This window comes from Homo sapiens, chromosome 1 (assembly GCF_000001405.40).
Source record: "Homo sapiens chromosome 1, GRCh38.p14 Primary Assembly".
NCBI classification, from domain to species: Eukaryota; Metazoa; Chordata; class Mammalia; order Primates; family Hominidae; genus Homo; species Homo sapiens.
In genome coordinates this window covers 206,820,151-206,844,399 of record NC_000001.11, presented here as the reverse complement: position 1 = coordinate 206,844,399, position 24,249 = coordinate 206,820,151, and the positions used below count along the sequence as shown (strand labels likewise).

Here is a 24,249-nt window from a genome sequence, read left to right as displayed (position 1 = left end):
GTTATTCACATTTCTTGAATAAATAATCTAGGTGAATTGTGAATTTAACACCTACTAAGTGCCAGGCAGTGAACAAACTAAACCATCCCTACACTCATGAAGCTTACATTCATGTGGAGGAGCAGCTAATAAACAAAATAGGATGCTAGATAAACAGGAAAGGGGTACAAAGTGTGCTGAAGGTGGAAATGGGGGGTTATCCTCCAATACGAGACCTTTGGAGTGAAGGTCTGAAAGACGTGGAGGTGCAAGCCATGCAGGTGTCCAGGGGAAGCACATCCCAGGGCAGTGATAAAAGATCAGAAATGCTATAACTGCCATCACCCAGCCTGCTCAGGGTGGGTGCCCATCCAAGGTCACTTTGGAAAAGTTAGGTCCTCAGCAAACAACCCTGCTCCCTAATAGCGTATGAATCCCATTAACGCATAATGTGTGGAGGGTTTGTTTTATTTTTTAACCCTACCTCAGTTTATGAGTGTGCATGTACACAAAGTGCATACACTGTATGGTGAGAACATGCCTGGTGTGTTTGCGAAACACAGAGCAAACAACTATGGCTGGGTCACAGTGAGCCTGGGGAAGGAGCAGGGACACAGTTAGGGAAAACAGCCAGGAGGGGTGTGTGTGCAGATATCAGGGTTGTCAAAGCCCTCATAATGACTCCAGCTTTTAAATGATTATAGAGGCAGGTGTGGTGGCTTAAGTCTGTAATGCCAGAACTTTGGGAGGCCGAGGAGGGAGGATTGATTGAGCTAGGAGTTTGAGACTACAGTGAGCTATGACCATGCCACTGTGCTCCAGCCTGGGTGACAAAGTGAGACCCTGTCTCCATAAATAAATAAATAATTATATGGAGCAGGTAGTACAGAAGGGTCAGTATCCACAATACTAACAACTAAGGACCAAAGAAATGTACTGACCTGCCCTGGGAAATTCATGGCAGGAGATGCCTTAGAACCAGAAGGTGGCCCCTGAGTCGGCAGTCTTTATATTGCACCGTGCTGTCTCCCACCCTGCTGAGGTCATGAGAGACCTTTTCCTTACTCGATGCTCACAGCAACACTACAGGACTGGTGTTAATATCTCCACTTTACAACAGAGGACACTGAGTCTTAGAAACGTTAAGTGCTTTGTTCAAAGTCACATAGGATTGGAACCAGATCAATTGGACTTCAGAGGTCTTGTTCTTTCCATTAAAGCATGTGATATGAAATCTGAAAGATACACATTTGTGCTCTGAATCATCTATGCAGTGTCCATCTAGATGTTGGTACCCTTTTCAGCCTCTCTACCCAGTGGCCTCTCTACTTACTTGTGTCTGTGCTTGTTCAGCTTTGTCACCATGACAACCATCCCTCTGTCAGAAACACCCTGTCCTCAGTCTTGACTGACTCTCCCTGAATGAAAAGATCCTTCCATTCATAGGTAAAATATGGAATTTATTCAGAAAAACCACTCAGTACAATGTGTACTACAGGATATCACTTGGCTCACATCACAGACATGGACTATATGACTTTACAATAAATTAGATGGGAAGGCAGCCCTTTACTCCCAGGATGGCCTGCAGGCCCTTTCAGCAGATAGAGTTTATTACAAATACCACAGTAGACTTTTTGGCTATTTTCAAGCGGAATAAGACAGCCTGAGGCCAGCCAGTGGGACTTTCAGCTGCAAGGGGCCTTCCCCATCTCCTTCCCCTTCAAGGTGGGCTGTCTCCCACAGTAAACCGCACAGGGGGTGTTCATCCCTGGATCACTATACAGGTTCCTTGTCATCAAGCTGAGAACATTACTTCATGATTCTTATTAATCCAGGCTAGAAAGACGTCGAGCTCTCCCAGGGATTTAATGGCAGCAGCGTGGACCTCCAGCTGAAATCAGAGATCAATGTAAGAACCCACCTTTCTAGACTGTGTAATGGTTTTCAAGTCACTTTCTTCATATGCTGGTTCCCACAAGGTTTTGTTTCTGTTTTTGTTTTTTTGTCACGAAATATATTTGCATAACATACAGACTCAATATTATTTTCCTCGCAGGCAACCAATTTTTTTCCCCACAAACAAGTAGTTAAATTATGTCAGCTCCTTATAAACAGAACTTTAAAATTCTTCATTCTTTTCCCTCAGGTTTTTTTTTCCTCTGTTTTTCACAGGAAAAAAAAATCTGCCTTACTGGCCAGTTCCGCTGATTTTCTTCTCCACACCAGCTTGCTTTAGTGCTTCTGTTATCCCAGAACATCTTTGTCCCTGAGGTGCTGGACAGTGGGTAGGGAGAGCATGTTGTCCTCATTTGACATATTAGAGCACTAAAGCCCCTAGAGCAAGTGTCCTACCCAATGTCACACAGCCAGTTAGTAACAGAGCTGGAAATGAAACCCAAGTCTCCTGCCTTATTCCACCTCCTTCCTCAGCAGACTGAGTTCATGCTTTTAGCGCGTCCTGTAGAGCCAGCCAGCGTGGAATTGAATCCTACCTCTGCCGTGCAGTTGCAGTGTGAACTTAGTTTAGTTACTTTACCTGCTCGAGCCTCAGTTTCTTAATGTATCCAATGCAGATAATGACTCATAGCATTGTTGGGAAGGACGAATGTGTGTTAATACTTGTTGTGTGCCTAGAGCAATACCTGGCTTATAGTAAGAACCATGTAACTCTTAGCTATTTCTATAACATTATCTTACAGAGTCTCTCCACAAAGAAGCAGAGCCCATAACAGACTCCCTAACTCTTGCTCTTCAAAGCATTGGTATCATTTGACAGTGTGATCTAAATGCAGAAACTCAGGCTCATCCCAGCCCTGCTGAGCCAGAATCTGCATTTTAACAAGATCTTGAACTGATGCTCATGAGAAACACTGCTTCTTCCTCTACCTCCACGTGAGATGTGCATTTTACACCAACATCAACATGAGAAGTACCATGTCTTCATCACTACACACAATATGGGGGGGCAGGTAGTGATCGCAGTGACGGCGTGCAGGTAACACGTTTCAGGCGTAACAGCTCACATTTCATGGGGGATCTTTGCTCCCTCTGTGTCATCCCATCTTAAGCAGTGGGTGCTTTCCCCAAATCATACAGGTCAGGCTTGATATATGAGGGTATGAGAAAATGGTGGAGGAATGATGGAGATGGGGAGCCCAGGAGATTAGCAAATGAGGTAAAATCAAAACTCTCTTTACAGACACAGAGAATTGAGGCCTGCCCACAATGGCTGCTTATAGAGTGAATGCATGAATTTAAGTGGAGAGGAGGCTGAAGGCCTGGCACCCTCCTGATCTACCTCTCATCTTCCATCTTCCCCAACCTCTTCCCAGATCTTACCTGATCATAGTTGTCATGGATGACTCTGGTGGCATTGGTGGCTTCCTGCCTGCAGTGACACTGCCTCTGTTCCTGCTGTGATAAAGTGGAGGAAGCTCCTATCAGAGGACATTTCCACTCTGGCCCTCTCTTACTCCTGCCTCCCCACATGAGAAGTGACATTTCTCCTCCCTCCCACAGTGAGAGTCAGATGAGTAAACTCAGGTGGGAGCAGCCACGGAAGAATAGAGCTTGTCTGTAGAGTCACCTGCATCTGCCCACGCCTTTTGTTTTTTCTGCATTTAGAACACATCAGACTGTCAGCACTAGGAAAGCAGGCACCATATCTGTCTTATCACCACTCTGAGTGCTGCATCCCACAGGGTAGGCACTCAACAAACATTTGTTAAATGTTAATTATTAATTAGATAATTAATTTTAACGAATTGTTAATTAAACAACTGGTTAGGTGAATTTATTTGAGTCCATTATCATATTAATGCAAGTAGGACAGGGGCCATCAACTCTTCTAACAATTTTAGAATCCGAGGCACAGAGAGGTGAAGTCACTTGCCACAAAGTCTCACAGGAAATCATTAGCAGGAATGGGGCTAGAGCCCAGGTTCTCTCCTGGTCTAAGTTTTTGTTGGTTTGTGTTGGTTTTGTTTCTGATGTTGGATTTAAATAGATCGCAATGAATTTCTAAGTAACCTTTAGGGATAGGCCATACCAAGGAACTACCCAGAGGTTTATTGATGTAAAGACACCAAAGGGCCAGAAATAAAGAAACCAGGGGTATGCTTACAGTAGAACTGGAGTCCTTGCCATGCCTCTTACTAAGGAATATGTTGACATAAGTTGGTCACCCCAGGAGGGTTATCTAGGAGGAGACCATCTGAGGAGTTGTCAGCAGGCAGGGAGCCCTGGGGAAGCAGTGGCCACTGGGAGAGGTTCTCCACAGTTCTCCCTGTGGACGTGCGCAGAGAATTTCCTTTGACTCCAAGCACCATATCAGGAGGCCGATGGGGGCCAGCACTTCCTGGCCTCTCCTTGGGCAGACAGGGAGCAGATGCTGGAATTCTGACCCAGTGACTCACACATTGCCGCAGAGTTTTCTGCATGTAGAGGAAAGAGTTGGCAATGCTGCTGATTTTTCTCAAGATTTTGGGGTTTGGCTCCTGATGATCCTTGAACACCCTGTCCACGTAGAACGCCAGGAGGTTCTTGGTCACGCAGCACACATCTAAGGGCTACAAACACAAATTAGGGAAACACTAGAGGCCTCTTCTCTCATTATGTTGGAGACCAGGGCAGTCCATTTGAGTAGGGGCAGCGACACATGAGAGAACTAAAAGTCATTTTGGAAAAATTCGTAATGGTCTCAGAGTGTTCATCCTCTCTTATTCCCATCAAAGCTACTTATGACAAAAATAGTGAGAAGAGATTCCAGTTCTCCCCTTTTTCTGTATGGCCGAGAAATACATTTACTAAGGATGGGGCCCAGAATCCATCATAGGCTAATTCTCTCTGCAGTATCCCTAGCGTGTCATCACTAACTTCCACTGAAATCTTTCCAGGAACCAGTTGCCTCCTTTTTAAAAGGACTGATGGCTGAGCAGCTTTCTTGAAAAGAACTTCCCTACACTACAGGGGCTGAAGTTGCCTCTCTGTTATGTCTCCCATCTGCCAACATGCAAGGGCTGTTGCATGCCAGTCATCCTGCTAGGTATGCATTCCTCCAACTGTAATCACATTGCATTCATTCTGGCCACCTTACTCTGGACCACACTGCTCAGCTCTCCTGTAGTCTGTCCTTTTAAAACCAGAAAGGTCATTGGAATGAGGCTGAGATTTGCAAGAGAGACCGACAGCTGCAGAAATGGGCATATTTGGGTAGGTCTGCAGCCTGCAGAGTGCAGATGTCCCAAAGAAATAGTCTCTAAATTCCCAGGCACAGCCCAGTGAAGTTGGCTAGACAGTTTCCTTCTAGAAGTTTGCCCGCCATCTGCCCTGAGAGCCAGTTACTCTGCAGAAGATTAACTGTTCAGTCTAAGCAGGGAGTGGTTAACGGTGGGACAGCACACCCATCTTCATTCAAGAAGCAAAGCCTCCTTGGCCCCAGTGTCAGCTTTTCCTAGATGGCAACACAAAAACCCTTCTCTTCCTTCACTGTTGCTGATTCTCTTAACCAGAAGGGCAAAATGTTACACCCCTCTGCACTATCAAAGACTGTGGTACTAGAAAAAGGAACACTGCAGAAAAAAGGAAGGTGGGAGTGAGAAAGGAAGGGAAGGAGAGAGGAAGGGAAGGGAAGGGAAGGGAAGGGAAGGGAAGGGAAGGGAAGGGAAGGGAAGGGAAGGGAAAGGAAGGGAAGGAACCTGAATCCTTATTGACTCCTTTTCTTATTCCACATGAGCTACTTCCCAACCTTGAGAGGAGAAAGAATCTGAAGATGGGGGCATATATTTGGGGGTCTGTTCCTAACTCTGCCACTAACTAGTCATGCTCCCTCCCAAGGTCTCACTGTCCTCATTTGAAAATGATGGTTTTGGAATAGATGGTCTTTTGGGTCCCTTCTAGCTGTCATATCTTCTGTGTCTATAATACAGTTGGCTAGAATATTATTTAGTAAGTGGCTACATCTCTTCACCACAAATAAATCACTGCTTAGAAGAATTATGAAGAGGTGTGTGTGTGTGTCTCTCACGTATGCAGAGAAACCTGAGAAAAAAGTAACTCAATACAAATATACCTTACACTCTGTCATACAAAATCCCTCCCAAAACTGGATCTGTCTAGAATACTTCCCAGGACTGGAGGAGCTCTCTTTTAAAGGCATCTCTCATGGGCCTTTTTGTAAAATGAATGATCACCTGGTAAGCCAGCTATTTTGTAACATACTTTCATCACCTCCTGTCTAGATGATTGGGCAGATCTTGTCACTGGCTTTCCTGCCTCACGTTGTCCATTGTAAGAACAGCACCAGATTGTCTTTCTAAAACAATTTATGATCATATAACTTTGGGCTCAAAAATCTCATTGACTCTCTATTGCTGCTATTATTTTCTTTTATTCTTTTATACCCCCATGGGGCCTTCCAAAATTACCCCTAAGCCACAGAAATCCTAATCCCCTCTGAGCACTGGGAGCTCCCAATCACTCTCTAGGAAGCGGCACTTCTTTAATTCCTCCCAGGGATTCCAAGTCCTTGGGACACTAGCATGCCCTAACACACATTCTTTTATTCTTTTTGGGTGTCTCAATCTGGCACCCAGGCTGGAGTGCATTGACACAATCATGGCTCACTGCAGCTTTGACCTCCCAGGCTCAAGCAATCCTCCCATCTCAGCCGCCCAAGTAGCTGGGAATAGAGTTGCATGCCACTATGCCCTGATAATTGTTTTGTTTTGTTTTGTAGAGACGAGGTCATGCTATGTTGCTCTGGCTGGTCTCAAGCCCCGATCTCAAGCAATCCTACCAGCCTCAGCCTCCCAAAATGCTGAAATTACAGGCATAAGCCACTGCACCCAGCCTATTGTCTGTATTATAAGCCTGAGGCTCAGCCTGGCTCCAGGGACCTTTATAAAATGACTCCAGGGTATTTTTTCACTTCATCTCCCACCACTCACTTATATGTCCTTTGGGTCACAAACCTGGTCACCTCTATGTCCGACCTTCACTGATCTTACACCCATTATCTTATCCTGCCCAAATTCCTTCCTCCCTCTTATTCACTGATCTACAACCTCCTCGGGTTAAGTCACCGTTTGTTTTCTTAGCTACCTCCATGGGACCTTCCAAAATTACCCCCAAGCCACAGAAATCCTGTCCCCTCTGAGCACCTGGCACCCCCAATCACTCTCTAGGAAGCAGCACTTCTTTAATTCCTCCCAGGGGTTACATATCCCTGGGACACTAGCGTGCCCTAACACATCATCTGACAAAGAAGCCTGGTGCATTTAGAGTACATTGGAGATTAGGAAAGAGAAGGGGACAAGGTAGGGATTTCTTTCTCAGCCCAGAGCCATTTAGACATGAAGATAAAAATACTGGAAAAAGCAGACACAGGCCAATACCTTAATGATCTGCAGAGTCTCCAATGTGGACAGGATAGTGACATTTGGGAAGGTGTCCTTAGCTTGCTGTGGAGGGAAACATAAGAACAGACATAAGCAATCGGTATCCTATGTTCTTCTGAGATGCAAAAGGCAATGAGAAGGAACTCATTTTCAAGCTAAGATGTAAGGGGAGGGATACTCCGTCATCCACACCTTTACACCAACCCATACTCACGATGGCTCTTTTGATTTCTTGGAAACTCTCTTCTATATGGTGCATGTCTGTGGAAATCAGACATCTCCTGAGACCGTGGTTGTCTACTGAGCACAATATCAGTATTGTACCCAGGAGCCAAAGGGAAACACACTGTAACTTCATGCCTGCAGAAAGGAGAGGAAGTCAGCTGTCCAGCCAAGAGTGGAGGGCAATGAAAAAGAAGACCCCTGATTGACGCTCCTTTCCAGCCTCGAAGGCAAGCCGGGAGGAATACAAGAAAACAACACTAAACACTTCAGCCTTGAGGAGTTACAGGGGTATGTATCTCCTCTGGTTTTCTTGAGTCAACTGGATATGAGTTCTTCCCCACCCTCACCCCATGCCCCCACCTCCACCCCAGAAAACACGATACACCACTCTCTTAAGTCCCAGGAAGCATACTTGTATGCATATCACTCTCCTATGACTCAACACAGCCTACTTTGTCAACAGGGGTGAAAAGCATTGTTTTTAATAAATTAAATAGGAAAAGCAGGGTTGGTAAGATGCCCTAGGAATTCGGCAACAGATGTGAAAAACCATAAAAACACACTTGGTTTTTGATGTTTGCCCCTGAAATAAGTAACACCCTTTTATTATAAACCTCAAGAGTGTATCTGCTTAAAATCATTTGTTTGAAGCCAGCTGTGGAGATTTCACCTTCTGGAGAGATGGGAAAGGGAGGCACAAGGCATCTTCAAGAACTAATTAGCCACAATAAGGAGCTAGGGGAAGAAGCCAAAGGTAGAGGGCAGCTTGGCAACTTCCCGTCGGTCACCTGCTGAGCCAAAGGGTATGAGGGGCATGTTTGCAGCTAGCTGCTTCATAGCCAGGGCCAGACCCTGAGAGGTTTGCCACCGCTTCTCATTCTCTTACCCTTCTTGCCTCTGTCTTTCTTGCTGCCTCTTCATTTAACCACTTTGTATTGTGCCACATAATGCGCACAGAGAAAAGTGCGTAAAATATAATGGTACAGCTTATGGGGTTATCTCTGTTTTCACCCACATTTCACAAGCTTATAAATAGAGCTTAGCCTTAACGCATGTCTTATGACAACACATGTGACGAGAGCAGCCCTCTGCTATGCACTTTGCATGGTGCCCACTGAGATCTCCCATTTACAGCTGTGTGTGCCAAGGTAAGTGTATCGTGTGTGGCCGTGGAGGAGAGGAGGGCATAAGACACAGGGAGCCAGCTGCGAGGACTGTAGAGCTATAGTTAAAGCTGCTGTAACTCACACGTGTGAGTGTGAACCCCAGCTGCCCCCACTCCCCATGCCTTCCTCAGGATTCCCAGCTCCTCTGGAAAGCCAGAAACAGCAAATCCTGTTTAGAAACCATTTTTGCCTGTCTCTCCTTAACTGGGCATCATTCCCAGGGAATAGACAGGTGTATGTCAAGACCTTACCACGTGGCAGGCATTAAGCCAAAGAGCTCCTTTCCTCTTTTATCAACCTCTCTTTCTGGCTAAACAAGGATGGGCCCCATTGCCAGGGAAGTTTGTAGAGAGTCCCCCAGAGCTCTGTCTCCTCAGAACGCTACTGGGGTGCTTCTAGAAAGCCAAGAAAGAGAGTGCAGTTTTTCTTCTGACAAGGTAACTCTCAGAAGCAGGCAGATATTGCCTGCTCATCCCATGCCAGGAGACTTGCGCATTTTGTGGAGGAGAAAGATGTCTCCCTTAGCTTGGTGAGGCAATTCCAGACATCTTGGCTAATTCAGATATTAGTAGTAAGTAACATTTATCCTGCGTGCCATGTGCATTGGGCACTGTCCCAAGAATTTTACGTAATTTTCTCATTTAATGCTCACAACCACCCTATGAAGTAGGCTCTGTTTCTGTTCCCATTTTACCAAAAAAATGAAGTAACCTGCCCAAGCCAGGGTTTGAGAGAAGGCGGGCCAGTCCCTGAGCTGGCTGTCTTTACTGCTACTCCACCCCACTTACAACATTGTTTCCCTCTGACATCATAGCCTGGGATCCCAGTAGCTCCCCTGACACCAGACAGACAGGAACCCATTTCTGAACCAGTGATGCTCCTTACATTTAAAAAGATATTTCACATTGCAAAGGATTAAACAATGATAACACATTATAAAGTGCCCAACACAGTTCTTGGAACAAAAAAGCAATAGTAAAGACATTAAATCCTTGACCTTTCCTTCCTTCACTCCTTCTTTCCCACTCTCTATCTCTTCTCGTTGAAAATAAGATACTAGAAAATTCACCTTTTCTATAGAGTACCCCTTCCCATTCTACCAAATGCCCAGCATCTGGAACATCATAGCCATACACAATGGTAACAGGTCACCTCCCTGCGGCAGTGAAGGAGGAGGGCTAGGATGGCGGTGCATAGGAGCCCCTGATGACGGACAGCGTGAGCCTCACCTCTCACTTGGTGCTTGCGGGCTGCTCCTTGTGTCTCCTCTCAGTGCTCTCTGCCATTTGGAAAGGGCTGGTCATTTTTATTCAGGTGGATAAGAGGAAATGCTGTCAAGGTTTGCTGGGTGGATCCACCTTGGGGAGATTGTTTTTTCCCCTTGTTTTCTTAGTATTGTATTTCCTTAATTGTTTTCTTTCTTCTTTAAGATATAGCTGATTAATCATTATTATGAAATGCCTCTTTCTTCTGGGTCTTGACATGCAGCTTCTAGGAAAAATAAACTCCCCATCTCCATGCAAATGAGAATTTTTTGCAATTCTATGTCCATGCAGAAAAATCCAACTTAGGTCACTTTCCTGAGAGCTGTGGCACGTTACCAAGTGTACCCTGCAGGCCAACTCACAAAAGCACTCTCAATCAGCCACACCCTGCAGCAGCCAGCCCATGAGGCTCTGCAGGTGCCTCTGGCTGCAGCACGATCCAGTTCTCCAATGCCTTAGGCAGCTATGAGTGTCTGCCATGTGCCAGGTGCTAGCTAACTGCTTTACCTGCATCATTTTGTTGAACTTCATGAGGAACACTTTTTCCCCTCATAAAGCAAGGATTTCTTTGCACATCATCTATTTCCCCTTCATCTTGTCCCCTGGAGGGTTCTCTCATTCTTGATTAATGCAGAGAGAGAGAAAATGAGACTGGAAAGAAGAGAGGTTTAAGATCAGCCAGTGGCAGAGCCAGGACCTGAAATCCTTATTCTTGGGCTAGAAGACTCTCTAACTAAATTACCTTTTTACATAAACTCTTTACCAAGAAGTTCTCTAGGGATCAGGTTTGGGGCAATGAAAAGATAGGGTATAAACAGTTTCTTCCCATTAAATAAAATTTCCAGGGGGTAATTGGTTTGGACTGAGTTACTGCACTAGGCCAATAGGCCAAACCTAAATGGAGTCGCTCATGCTGAATGAAGTTCCACACCACCAAGCTGAAACTAAACTGTTTATCTAACCTTCTGAGAAATCAGGAGAGAGAAAGATAATAGCCAAATCCTGAAACAAGCCAGTTTTAGCCAGCGTATAAGGAAGTCTCCTCTGCTCTAACCTTTACAAGGAAAGTAACTTTTAAATGACCAGTTTGCTTTTTGTTCTCTGTTTCTGCTTCCTCTAGCAGTTGTCTGCCCACAAAACCACTCTCCTCTGTCAGCTCATGGGACCACTCATTCTATTTTTATAAAATAGGATGTTGCCTGATTCTAGAATTGCAAATAAAAGCCAATTAAGATCTTTAAACTAAATGTGTTGTAATTTTGTCTTTTGACATCCCCAAACACAGACTCCCAGAATAAATGGAGCTTATTTTTAACCAAATGAAGTGACCTTGGGATGAGGTGCAATTATGAGACCCCACTGGGCTGGTACAAACCCTGTTCCTGCAGCCAGATTTGGGAGACAGAGAGGGCCACAGGGCACCGGCAGAGAAGGAAAAGGGACAGGAAAGATCAGGGCCTTTTACGGGACAGGTGCAAGGGAAAGAAACCCCAGGGACTTGATGTCTTGTGGTCCAGCATCTTGGACATAATAAAATGGTAAGTGTTGAGGGAAGTGGTAGACTATAGTGGTTCACAACGTAGTTCTGGATTTAAACCCTGGTTCACTCTCTTCTCTTCTTCCTTATCTCCCTTCTCTTCTTGGTAGCATGCCACAGCTCTCAGGAAAGTGACCTAACTTGGATTTTTCTGTATGAACATAGAATTGCAAAAAAAATCTCATTTGCATGGAGATGGGGAGTTTATCATTTTTCCTAGAAGCTGCATGTCAAGACCCAGAAGAAAGAGGCATTTCATAATAATGATTAATCAGCTATATCTTAAAGAAGAAAGAAAACAATTAAGGAAATAAGACGAGGGTATGGCCAGGCAGGTACCCTCTCTGCCTTGCTCAGAAAGGTTACCATGCCTATTGCCTTCTATGGGAATGAGGTTCCATGGAGTTGAGCAATATGTGGCCCTATTGCAGAGTCTGGATGAAATGCATTAGGTCTATAGACACTGGAAAAGCTACTTAAAGCCTTTCTGAAGCTCCATAAAATAGGTAAAATAAAACTGTGAGGATTTGAATGAGCTAAAGGACCTGTGTCATAGTAAGTACTCCTTAATAAATATTATGTATTTCTATCCTGTGTGCCAGGCACCTGGAAAAGGAGAAGACACCTTTGTTAGGAGCTAATGGACATCTTTCTGCTCCTTTGGAGAGGGTGCAAAGAGCTACTCTTGACCTCGGGAATCTCCCCTACTCCCACCCTTGTTTCCCCCAGAGGGGTGGGATGGAGGGAGGTGGGTGCTGTTTTCCCAGCAGGGCCTGAGCTGCCTGGCTCGGAGTCCCTCTGCACATGTGAGAATAGCAGCTCAGAGCCCAGCTGCACATGTAAGGGGATTTGCAACACTGTCCATGCTGAGTCTCACCCCACATTCACCCCTTGTGCTCAGGCTATATGTTCTGACCTAGCTTTCATTTCAGGGCAGATATGTCATATCAGGAAGCTTGCAGGGGAAGGGAAATAAGTGATGTGTTTATAGCTCCTCTTCCAGCATGTGGTGTACCATAATCGCTGGTACTGGAAGCTGGGTTGACTGGCTCTGCTTTCTATGGCTGTCAGACTGAAGGCAAGCCACTTAATCTCAGTGCCTGTTTACTCATCTGTAAAATGGTACACATCATGCCTACTGCACGTTCACCATGTAGGCGCAGCATGAAGATGAAGTGATTACACATAATTCCTCAGCACAGTACCTGGCGCATAATAAGCAACTTGAAAATGACATTTATTATCAATTTTATAATTCCCTTTAGAGCTCCTAAATCAGGAAGAAGGGGGAACAATAAGAAATAAGTTCTCTTCATCTTAAGCCTTGCTGCCTGACCCCTAATATCAAAAATAAGAATATAGATTGAGATAGAATGGCATCTTTCCCAGGATTGCAATTCAATTATGAATCTGGTCTCCAGACACAAGGTTGCATCTGCCTTAGAATTAGGACTTCTGGGACCAATGGACCCACCATTGAGATATCAGAGCTCAATTTTCCACTTGTTGAGTAGGGAAGCAGAAAGAATGTGAGGGAAGATTGGCGAGCCAGAATGGAGAATGCTTTGAGTTTGACATGTTCTGGACACAACTCTCTCATGTCTTCCAATTCCTTATCCCCGCCTAACATGCACTCCAACCTCATGAATTTTTCATAATGATGCCAGGGCAATTTCCTTCCCTTAAAAGAGTGGATCCTGGCCATTCCTAAGTACTGAGTCTTGAGCGCATACAAAAATTGCATAATTCCAGAGGGTACCATGCCTATTGCCTTCTGTGGGAATGAGGCTCCATGGACTTGAGCAATGTGTGGCCCATTGCAGGATTTAGATGAAATGTATTAGATCTATATGAGTAATTTTGGTTAGATTTGAGAAAGAACCTATCATTATGAGGACTATAAAACACGAAGAAGTATGACTGAGAACGAATTTGTAAAAAAAGAAACGTAGGCCAGGAGCGGTGGCTCACGCCTGTAATCCCAGCACTTTGGGAGGCCAAGGCGGGCGGATCACGAGGTCAGGAGATCGAGACCATCCTAGCCAATGTGGTGAAACCCCGTCTCTACTAAAAATACAAAAAATTAGCCTGGCGTGGTGGCAGTACCTGTAATTCCAGCTACTCGGCAGGCAGAGGCGGGAGAATGGCATGAACCCGGGAGGCAGAGCTTGCAGTGAGCCGAGACCGCACCACTGCACTCCAGCCTGGGCAACAGAGCAAGACTCCATCTCAAATATATATATATATATAAAACTGATAATGATGGATGGGTATTTTATTTGGGAAGCTAATAGGGATTTTAAAACAGAATACATAAATGTTTAAATGTCTTGGTAAATATATCTAGATCATAATGATATGTGTGAACTTCTGTATAGCTTTGAAAATAAAACAAAAAAAAAGGTGAGAAAAAGAACTGGGAAATTTAAACCTAAAGAAGTTTCTCCTTTGTTTTGTTTTTGTTTTTTTATCTTTTCTCTCTCTTTTATTCCTCATTTTCAGTGGGGTTGGCTCTCCTTTATTGTGATATTTGGAAATGAGAGTCAGAAAATATAACAGAGATAACTCAGTTCAATGTTCACATTACAGTGATGAAGAAATAGAGAAGTGAACCAGCCCTCCATGGCACCGCAAGGAAGTGGCACAACTGCTCTCAAACCTCTATCTCCTTACCTCTGGCTCAGCGCCCTTTCTAACCCCATGCTGCCCTTTCACTCTAGGATTAGGTAGAGTGGAAAGGAACCTAGACTTGTGAGGAACCTCAAGCCCATTCAGCAGAGGAGGTGACATAACTCTCCCAAGCCATGCTGTTCTGACTTGTCATTACCCAGGAAGCTGAGGACTTAAGGAAATCCAAACTGGCCACACCTGTGCTCCTGGGGAGGGAAGCACAAATCCACATTGGGCACCTATGCCACTTCAGCCTGTACTTCCTTCTCCTCCTCCTTTTTTGCCCACAGGGATCTTGGTCAAAGTCTGTTCAAAGCCTCAGACCCTGGGTGACACATCTTATGTCAATGGGCTCTGTGGTTCAAATGTTATGAAAGAGCCCCAGTGGTGATGGGATGGAGGGATAGTAATGGAAAGAGCCCAACTGATGCCTCCCCATTCCTCTCCTGAACAATCCACTCTTCCCTAGGTAGGTGGACTTTTTAAAATGCAAACCCAGTCTTGGAACTCTCCAGTCTAAAACTCCCAGCATAACGCCCTGGGGCCTCCCAGTAGCAGGAAATCTGCTCCCCACAGCATCCAGACCCATCACAGCCTGGACTTCGCCTACATTTTCCGCCTCATCTCTCTTGCAGATCTCCCACACCTCACAGGCTCATCTCACCTAGAAAGCCCCGCTGCCTCACCTACCTTGTAAACACCAACCTAACGTTCAAAACCTAGCTCCAGTGTGACTTCCTTTGTGAAACTTCTCCCCTCTTCCTTTCCTCTCCCCACTCCCCTCCTCCTCCCCACTTCAACCCTGGTTGAGTTGACCACTACTTTCCTTTTTTATATTCCCGCTGGATACAAGATGCATATTTAACTTTGAATTTCAATGAAAACATCTCAGTGTTTATCTACCTGAAATTCCAAGTTAACTGGGTGTCTTGTATTTGTATTTGCTAAATCTGGCCATGCATAGCTCATACAATTGGGTGGGGAGAGTCCTTTTAAGAAATTGAATTCAGGCTGGGCACAGTGGCTCACACCTGTAATCTCTGCACTTTGGGAAGCCGAGGTGGGAGGATCCCTTGAGGCCAAGAGTTTGAGACCAGTGTAGGCAACAAAGCGAGACCACATCTCTGAAAAAAAAAAAAAAAAAAAGCTGCATGTGTTGGCACATGCCTGCCTGTAGTCCTCATGCACACCTGTAGTCAGGAAGTTGAGGAGGCAGGACAATTGCTTGAGGTCAGGAGTTGAAGACTGCAGTCTGCTATAATTTCACCATTGCACTCCAGCCTGGGCAACAGAGTGAGACCCTGTCTGCGGGAAAATAAATTGAATTCAAAAATAGAAATACAAAATTAGAGACAAAAGTAAACGTTTATTTAGAAAGAGAAATTACAACAAATTACAAATCATAAAAGCTAACAAATACCACAAACACCACAAAATCCAGAAAAAAAAATCTTTATTCTTTAACTCCTGACAACTTTTTGTTTCCTTCTTCTATGTCAATACTTTTTTTTACTGTGCCTCTGGGAGAACCAGAGAATGGTATTGGGTTCAAATGTTTACGTACCTTTCACTCCAATTTCTAACATTTCTCATGGTCACATACTCAAGATGTTGCCAGAAAAGAGGATCCCAATCTAGACCCCAAGAGTGGGTTCTTAGATCTCACACAGGAAAGAATTGGAGCACAGACAAAGAAGCAAATTTATTGGAAACTACTCCATTAGAGAGTAGGGCATGCCCAGAAAGCAGGAGGAGGAACCCCTGTCCTTTAGGAACATCTCTGCTTATAAGAAACTATAAGGAGCTATGATTAAACTTGGAATGTGCAGATGTGCTCACTAAAGGTAGGGGCTGTTGGTGCTCTAGTGACCATTAATCCTTCAACTTGAGTCTGCTCATTGACGTTATCTCTGAGTAAAGTGGGCTGTACTTGGGACATCTGGACATTCTGCAGGCTTGGTGGGAGATGTCCTATATAGCCATCAATCTTCTGTAATTATAAGTGGTGGTGAGCTTAGAAATGTGTCACTCCAGTCATGTTTTATTAAACCAGAGGCCTGGTAAGCAGGAGTTCCTCTAACAAAATTCATAGACTAAAAGAGTAGACTCACACTAATAACTAACAAGTACTGAGCACATTTGCCACCCCAGGGTCTGTGTGAAGCATCCATATGCATTGTCTGTTTTCATCTTCACACCTATTCCATGAGGTCAATACTATTTTTGTGTCCATCATTTTGGATAAGGAAGATGAGACTTGGAGCTACCAAGTACTTCACCCAAAGACACCCAGGTGGGGTGTGGTACAGCTGCGTGCAGTCATAGGCAGCCCACTCCAGGGCTTCATTACACCAGACATGAAAGAGCATCTGGCCCACCCTTCTCATTTACAGATGAGGGAACAGCTGAGGCCCAGAGAGAAGCATTTTGTTCTTTTTGTTTTTTTTGTTTTGTTTTGTTTTGTTTTTTGAGACGGAGTCTCGCTGTCACCCAGGCTGGAGTGCAGTGGCACGATCTCGGCTCACTGCAGGCTCCGCCCCCCGGGGTTCATGCCATTCTCCTGCCTCAGCCTCCCGAGTAGCTGGGACTACAGGCGCCCACCACCTCGCCTGGCTAATTTTTTGTATTTTTAGTAGAGACGGGGTTTCACTGTGTTAGCCAGGATGGTCTCGATCTCCTGACCTCGTGATCCGCCCTCCTCGACCTCCCAAAGTGCTGGGATTACAGGCGTGAGCCACCGTGCCCGGCCGAGAGAAGCGTTTTGAATTTGAAAATTGAATTCAAAAATAGATGGACAAAATTAGAGACAAAAGTAAATACTTATTTAGAAAGAAATTACAACAAATTACAAATTCATAAAAGCTAACAAATAACACAAACACCATAAAATCCAGAAAAAAATAATATTTCTATTCATTAACTCCTGACAACTTTTTGTTTCCTTCTCCTATGTCAATACTTTTTTTTACTGTTATTTTCTATAAAGAGAATAAAAAAATATTCAGTCTGTCCTTTGCTATGGTTGTTTCCATCAGCTTACCCCAATGGAAGGTTAAGATTTAATTCTTTCATAACACTCCATACAAACCTGTTATTTCTTTCCCCCATCCCACCAACATAAGCGTATCACAACGGCACTTCTTTCTAGGCAATGTGTCACCCACATTGTATCACAACTTTCTGTTTCCTTCGTCAGACAACTGAGTAGTGGTGGAGCTGGGACCGGAGGCCACATCCCTGAACTCTCAGTCCAGTGCTCTTTCCATTCACAGAATCTTTGTCCTCTCTTCTCACTTCAAACTTCCTCCCTATAGAAACAGGCATCTCTTCCCTCCAAGCAAAGGAACAGCAGAACGGCAAATGGCATAGAGGATGGCTTGAGAGTGTCCTTCCCAACTGGCAAGTCCAGGCGTGTCAGGAGGAACTCTAATTCTGTGGAAATCGGATGTGGTTTTTTCCTCTTATTGTTAAAATAAATCATGTCAGTTGAAAAGAGCTTCTCCCATGGGTACTGGGAGCCAGGGAGTTCCTGGGGAGGGCTTCACCCCAGAGCCCTGGGAGGAGGAGAGGGTGGACTGGAGGCTGCTGGCCTGCTGCAGAGTTACAGAAAGCAGGTGGCAGAGTGAGAGCTGACTCATCTGAAATACTAAAGCGGTAAGGGCAGGCCAGGGACGAGGACTGCATCTTGCATCCACATTGTTTCCTGGAAGAAACCCCACCCAGCTGCCCTCTCCCCTACTACCATCCCAGCTCCTCAAATCCTGTCCTTTCAGAAAGCCAGCGGTGTAGTTCAGACTTCCTTTCCTAGAGGATTTTCTGCCCTGGGTTGTCTAAATCTCCACCATGTCCTGGGGACAAAGCCATTCAATATGGCAGACCAAATAGAAGCCAGCTGTCAGCATCTACTTAGAAGTTAGCTAGGATTTGCAGCTTAGGGCTAAAATTCAAAGCAAGGTACAATTCCTCTAGGAATCCCTCTCTCAGTGCCCTCACCGCATTATCTTCCCCTTGGTCTCCCCTCAGCCCTTGAGGACTTATTTTGAACTCTGTTCACTTTTACTTTAGATTGTTTGGGCCACTCTGAAATCTCTCTCCTATCAGACTTGAAGGTGGAGGAGGGCTGAGACCGTGTGTCCCAAGCAGAGGGTGTATAACAGTTAGTGGCCAGATGGCCCCATTTTTAAGTTGGTCTCTCAGTTTGAAGGTCAAGCTCTGGTTTGAATATAGACTCCACAAGGGCAGGGATCTTGTCTGTGTTGTTCATCACTTTATCCTCAAAATGTAGCACATACTGGGTCCTCCAAGTTTGTTGACTGAATGAAGGAATGACAGGGAATGAGACCTTCCAAAGGCAGGGACAATCGTGCAGTTCTTTGGTGTTTCCGCACATCCACCTGCACGGGGTTTTGGCGAGTTCCACATGAACAGCCTGCCTGCTAAGCTGGGTTCCTGGTGGGGAGGAGCCCCTGGATCTATGCTGTAGAAACATTATTCTTCTGTGCCCCTTCAGTGAAGCCCTTCCAGAGAAAAATCAGAAAGGTCAGGCCCAAAGAGTCTACATGCTTCTCTCCCAGTATCCAACATAACTAGATTCAGAAGGGGTTGGAGACAGGCAATCCTGGCTACTGAAGAGTTGAATTACAGTCTTTTTTCGTCTAGGGTTTGCACCTAAGTTGAAGATTAAACAAAATGTGGTATCAGAAGGAAAAATTTTGATCTTGACATCTTATAGATATTGAAGAGTTATTAAGCCAGGAGAAAGAAAAATTCAAGTTGGCCAGCTGCATCAAAGGCAATTCAATCATTTTGACTCACAGCCTTGAAGCACAGTAACAATTAAGCACATTTTAAGTGCCAGAGTAACTTGCCATCACTAAAGCTTTTCTTGTAGTATGATCAATGTTTAAATACAGAAAGAGTTACTTATGCACCAACTACAGGTCCAAGATTTCTGATTCATTTGAGAAGTTGATTCAATATATGGAATCCCTCTCCCCACAAAAATGTACACATATGCAAACTTTCCTTCTGATGTCTTTCTGAGAACCCCTCAAGAGTCCATGAACCCTAAATTAGTAACATTAAAAGATTTGGATTCAGGGGGCCTGGCGCAGTGGCTCATGCCTATAATCCCAGCACTTTGGGAGGCCGAGGTGGACAGATTGCCTGAGGTCAGGAGTTCGAGAACAGCCTGGCCAACACAGTGAAACCCCATCTCTACTAAAAATACAGAAAATTAGCAGGGTGTGGTGATGGGCGCCTGTAATCCCAGGAGGCTAAGGCAGGATAATCGCTTGAACCCAGGAGGCAGAGGTTGCAGTGAGCCGAGATCGTGCCATTGCACTCCAGCCTGGGCAACAAGAACAAAACTCCATCTCAAAAAAAAGATTTTTTTCTTTTAGACTCAGGTATAACTTTCACACTTGCTGGCTCTATAACTTCAGACAAATGAATTAATCTCTCTGTGCCTCAGTTTCCTCATCCGGAGAAATGGGGGTGATAATTCCTCCCCTACTCTTACTAGCTCTGTGATCTTGGGAAAACCAGGTCAGTCTATCTTCCCTTAGCCCCAGTTTTCTCATCTATAACATGTGGCAAATGAGGAACAGACAGTATAACATACAGGAAGCTCCTACAAGAAGGAGGAAATGCCATACATGTTTTTGAATCGGCAGATGCAAGAAACATAAACTTAACTCACTGAAGAGAGTCTATGTTTTCCTCTATTCCACCAATACTCTTCTCATTCACAAACAGCATCTGTCCATCACTTTATGATCTCCAGGGCATTTTTCACATATAGCATTACTTCACACTCGGAATTCCATGTCAACAGGGAAGATCTTCCATATCAATAGGGAAGATGTCCTCCTTTCTTTAGATGGGAAGGCTAAGGCTCAATGATTGAAGGATCATGCAGCCAGCTAGAGCTAGAACTCAGCCTACCTAGGCTTCTTAACTCCGTCCGAGCCTCCTCCCTGCCTTCCCCCTGGGGCAACAGCTAGGGTTGCCCTCCATCCAGGGGACCCAAGCCTCTGGAGAGAAATAATCCGCTGATATCAAGTAACAGTGCTTGAGTGAGCAGCAGGAGCAGCAGTTTTGCCCCTCAAAACACTCAGGACCATTTCTTGGCAAAAGATTCAAGGTTGAGAACATTCTTTCCCTCTGAAGACACGGCGATCCTGCTAAAACTGAAACTTGCCCAAGTCACATCCTTCTTAAGACGGAGGGAAGCAGGGCCTCCACCCCCATGGCTTTGAGCTTTGAGAATTCCCTTGGCAGGAACATCCTGTGAAACCTCCAACAGGCCTTGGAAGGCTGAGAAGCCTTCCCATCACACACTGTTTATTCCCTGCATTTCTTACCCATTCTTATCCTTCAGTGATGGCTCCTCACCTCCAGACAACGGAGAGTGTTATGTTTGTTTAATAACATTTTCTTTTCTCAGCCATTAGAAAAGTAATCCTTGCTTTGGTATGGAAAAATTATAGAGAACACAAAAATAAAATAGATAATGGAATAAAAAACTAGAAGGAAAGAAAAATGGTCATCCACAGTTATTCTATCCAGGAATAATCTTGGTGTCTTGGTGTCTTTTTTTTTTTTTAGACGGAGTCTCGCTGTCACCAGGTTAGAGTGCAGTGGCATGATCTCGGCTCACTGCAATCTCCACCTCCCGGGTTCACACCTTTCTCCTGCCTCAGCAACCCGAGTAGCTGGGACTGCAGGCGCACGCCACCACGCCCAGCTAATTTTTTTTGTATTTTTAGTAGAGAAGGGGTTTCACCATGTTTGCCAGGATGGTCTCAATCTCCTGACCTCGTGATCCGCCCACCTCAGCCTCCCAAAGTGCTGGGATTACAGGAGTGAGCCACCACACCCAGCCATCTTGGTGTCTTTTCTAACTTGGATCACCTAGAAAAAAAATGTTTAGGCCAGGTGCGGTGGCATATGCCTCCCAGCACTTTGGGATGCCGAGGCTAGTGGATCACTTGAGGTCAGGGTTTTGAGACCAGCCTGGCCAACATGGAGAAACCCCGTCTCTACTACAAATACAAAAATTAGCCAGGCATGGTGGCACATGCCTTTAGTCCCAGCTACTCAGGAGGCTGAGACAGGAAAATCACTGGAACCTAGGAGGTGGAGGCTGCAGTGAGCCGAGATCACACCACTATACTCCAGCCCAGGCAACAGAGTGAGACTTCATTTCAAACAAAAAAAAAAGAAAGAAAAAGAAAGGATCCATGCAGTGAAATATAACCCTAGACCCTAACCCCCACAAGGCTGCAACCACCTGAGCCCACCCTGGTCACTTACACATTCATTCAGCTGGGACCCTACAACAAGCCAGGCCCTGCACTAGGTTTGGGGGACACCGAAGCGTTGGGGGACACCAAAGTGGACAGCATATTCCCGGCCCCACAGACCTCACAGTAGTAGGAGAGACAGGCCATTAAACAGATGTCATGATCACTCTTACCAGTCAAGACCTGGGCTCTGTGCTAAGCATTTTCAATATATTAATTTATTTAATCCTTACAACCTTGTGAGAAGGTACTATCTTTAGCCACATAACACAGATTGATAAAACTGAAGTTAAAAGAGTTTAAACACTTGGACAAGGTTGTCGAGCTTGTAAGTGAGGAGCTGAGATCCAGACCCATGGAGACTGACTCCGGAATGGAATGAGGGTTATGAGGATCAGGAAAGGCCTCTCTAAGGAAGTGAGGTTTAACCTGAGACATGGAAGAGGAGCACAAGTAGAACATCTCAACCCCATTCTTTCCTCCATATCACCCACCAGCCTCCAGCATTCTCCTCCAGGATTCTTGTGCCAACTTTGCCCATAGCTATGGCTCTTCGTGGGCCCTGCAGCTGCCATTCCCACTTATCTTGCTTCTTAGCCCTTCTACCCAGGGGTGTTTCCCTATCGCCCTTCTCCATTTCCCCCTTCATGCAAGCCTCTTACTCAGGACCCTGCCCCGCTCATTCTCTCGAGGGCATCTTGGAAATTCCCCTTTCCCCCTTGCCCAGAATAATTTCAGGCTTAGCCCAGAACCCCCAGTTTTCCCAGCACCAAATATTAATCACAGTTCAGGCTAAAACTGCCGTGCTCAAGTTCCTCCAGATTCCAGGCACGGTGGGGCACGGACATGACGAGAGAACTCTGGGACTTGTCAGCTTCTGACTACCCCAGAAAGGCAGGGCAAGAACAAGGCCTGTGGGAACTTGAAGAACCTGGACACCTCTTCCAAATTAAGGTGCAGACCAAACCCTTTCCCAAAGTGTGAGGAGTTTTCATTTCAGTGGGCGGCTTTCCTTCCAGCCTTCCCACAAAGGACATCCTGGGGGAAAGGGAGCTGTTGATCCCAGGGTGGCGGCATACCAGAGCACTCTGTCCCTGAACTCACTTCTCCCTTTTCTTAGCCCTGCTGTGCCTGGGGAAGCTTAGAAGCACCTGGCAGGTGGTGATCCCTGCATCCACCTGCTGCAGTGGAAGACAATAGGAGCGAAGCTAATGGTGCTAGAGCAGGGACTGAGCCTTTGCCAAGAGAAAAACACATGCAGACTCTGTTAGTCTTGAACACACTTTCTCTTCCAGAGGATTCCTCCCAGGGAACTCCCAGAGGAGGAGGAAGTGCCAACGTTGTCCAAGGTCCCTGTTAAAGAAAAACCCTAATGGGAGAGCAAAAAGAACCTTTGGCAAAGACAGCTCTACACCTGAAAGCCGCAAGCATCGTAACAATGATAATAGCAACAACAAATGCTTATATGGCGCCTACTATTTGTGAGACAGTGCTCCAAATGCTTTATGGACTTGAACTCATTTAATCTTATGTCCAGTAGAACCTGCTTCACTGTGGCTCTTTACAGGTGCCAGGTCCTGTTGCTAATCTGGTATTTCGATAGTATCATTTTAACTTCCAGAACCTGTCATCATCATATCACTCATTGATTCAACAGATTGAGCACCCACTGTATCTTACACACTATGCTATGGTCTGGGAATGCAAAATGACAACAATTTCATCCCCTGAAGAGCTGAGGATCTCATGGGAAAGACAGGCAAACAAAGAGGATAATCCATTACAGTGGTATAAGTGCTTTGAAAAGGGGAAATAAAGCATGCTGTGGAACACAGTAGAGAGACAGTAATGCAAACCAAGTTGTGTGGGGGCAGGGGATATCAGGGAAGGCTCCTAGGTAGAGGTGACACCTTGGCTGAGTCTTTGAGGATTCATGGAAAAGGACAGGCACACTGGATGGAGCCCTAGAGATGGTCAATGATGGCACATTGTGGGAAACACATGTTGGTCAATATGGGCAGTGTTTGAAAGCGGGGTGGGGAGGAGGCGGCAGGAAGCCATGAGAAAAGCTGACAAGACTCTCAGAGTTGTGCTAGAGGAACCTCATTGTGCCAGTCCACAGCTGTTCTTTAAGCTCAGCCAATGCCACAGTAAAGTAGAGGCCCACTGTTCTCACCCAGCCATGTCCACATTTCAAATTCATCAGCAAATAAATGATTGCTATTATTTGAAGCCGCTGTTGTGGGATGGTTTGCTTTTAGCAACAAATTATCAAACAACCACTTTAGAGGTGAGGGCAGCAAGGAGGGCTAAGTGGAAATGACAAGCATCAACACTGGTGCCAATATCTTGATCTTTCTGGCCCTTATGTTTGGTTAGAAGCAAACATTGTTTGGCTAACATCTGGAAGTCATTTATAACCAGCATATGATTCTAGATGGTGCTAGTAGGTCTTTAGGCTCCAAATATAGAACATATCCCTCAGAATCTGGAGATAAGAGTAGAAATGGGTTGGTATGCTGGTATCTTGAAGGTTACAGACTGGTAAACTGATGTCAACCTCAAGCGGGAGGGTTTCTGATAGCCGACCACAGGCCTTCATCCTTTCCCTTGTCTTAGCAATGATTTTTATCGATCACTCAGATGAAGTTTAGGGGGGCCATATTTATCAAAGTCAGTAAATACATGAAGCTTGGAAGG

At 45.3% G+C, this 24,249-nt stretch overlaps 1 protein-coding gene and 1 long non-coding RNA gene across 7 annotated transcripts in view, besides 1 other annotated feature; one reads left to right on the top strand and one right to left on the bottom strand.

Annotated features, from left to right (window-relative positions):
* Positions 1 to 1,418: 1,418 nt before the first annotated feature.
* The window catches only part of IL19 (interleukin 19), a 72,209-nt gene continuing 49,378 nt past the window's right edge, over positions 1,419 to 24,249 (bottom strand). For 2 of the 6 annotated variants that reach the window (NM_153758.5, NM_001393490.1), the window contains exons 3-7: positions 7,594 to 7,739; positions 7,377 to 7,442; positions 4,398 to 4,550; positions 3,322 to 3,396; positions 1,419 to 1,873 (exon numbers count right to left, since the gene is read on the bottom strand). In NM_153758.5, the coding sequence (NP_715639.2) occupies positions 1,778 to 1,873; positions 3,322 to 3,396; positions 4,398 to 4,550; positions 7,377 to 7,442; positions 7,594 to 7,737 (534 nt within the window). In that variant the 5' untranslated portion in view covers positions 7,738 to 7,739 and the 3' untranslated portion in view covers positions 1,419 to 1,777. Of the gene's footprint in view, positions 1,874 to 3,321; positions 3,397 to 4,012; positions 4,551 to 7,376; positions 7,443 to 7,593; positions 7,740 to 9,999; positions 10,687 to 15,273; positions 15,369 to 24,249 lie in introns of those variants that run through there. The other 4 variants (NM_013371.5, NM_001393491.1, NM_001369605.1 and 1 more) reach the window with 4 other exon arrangements.
* LOC105372878 (uncharacterized) lies at positions 1,579 to 3,360 on the top strand. Its single transcript, XR_922482.3, has 3 exons — positions 1,579 to 1,891; positions 2,682 to 2,977; positions 3,182 to 3,360. It is a non-coding gene; the product is annotated as an uncharacterized LOC105372878 (long non-coding RNA).
* Positions 12,414 to 12,633: a silencer, noted in NCBI's record as "silent region_1767". NCBI's record gives its function as "represses an Ori minimal core promoter by ATAC-STARR-seq in GM12878 lymphoblastoid cells {active_cell/tissue: GM12878}" and the evidence as "EXISTENCE:reporter gene assay evidence [ECO:0000049][PMID:35858748]".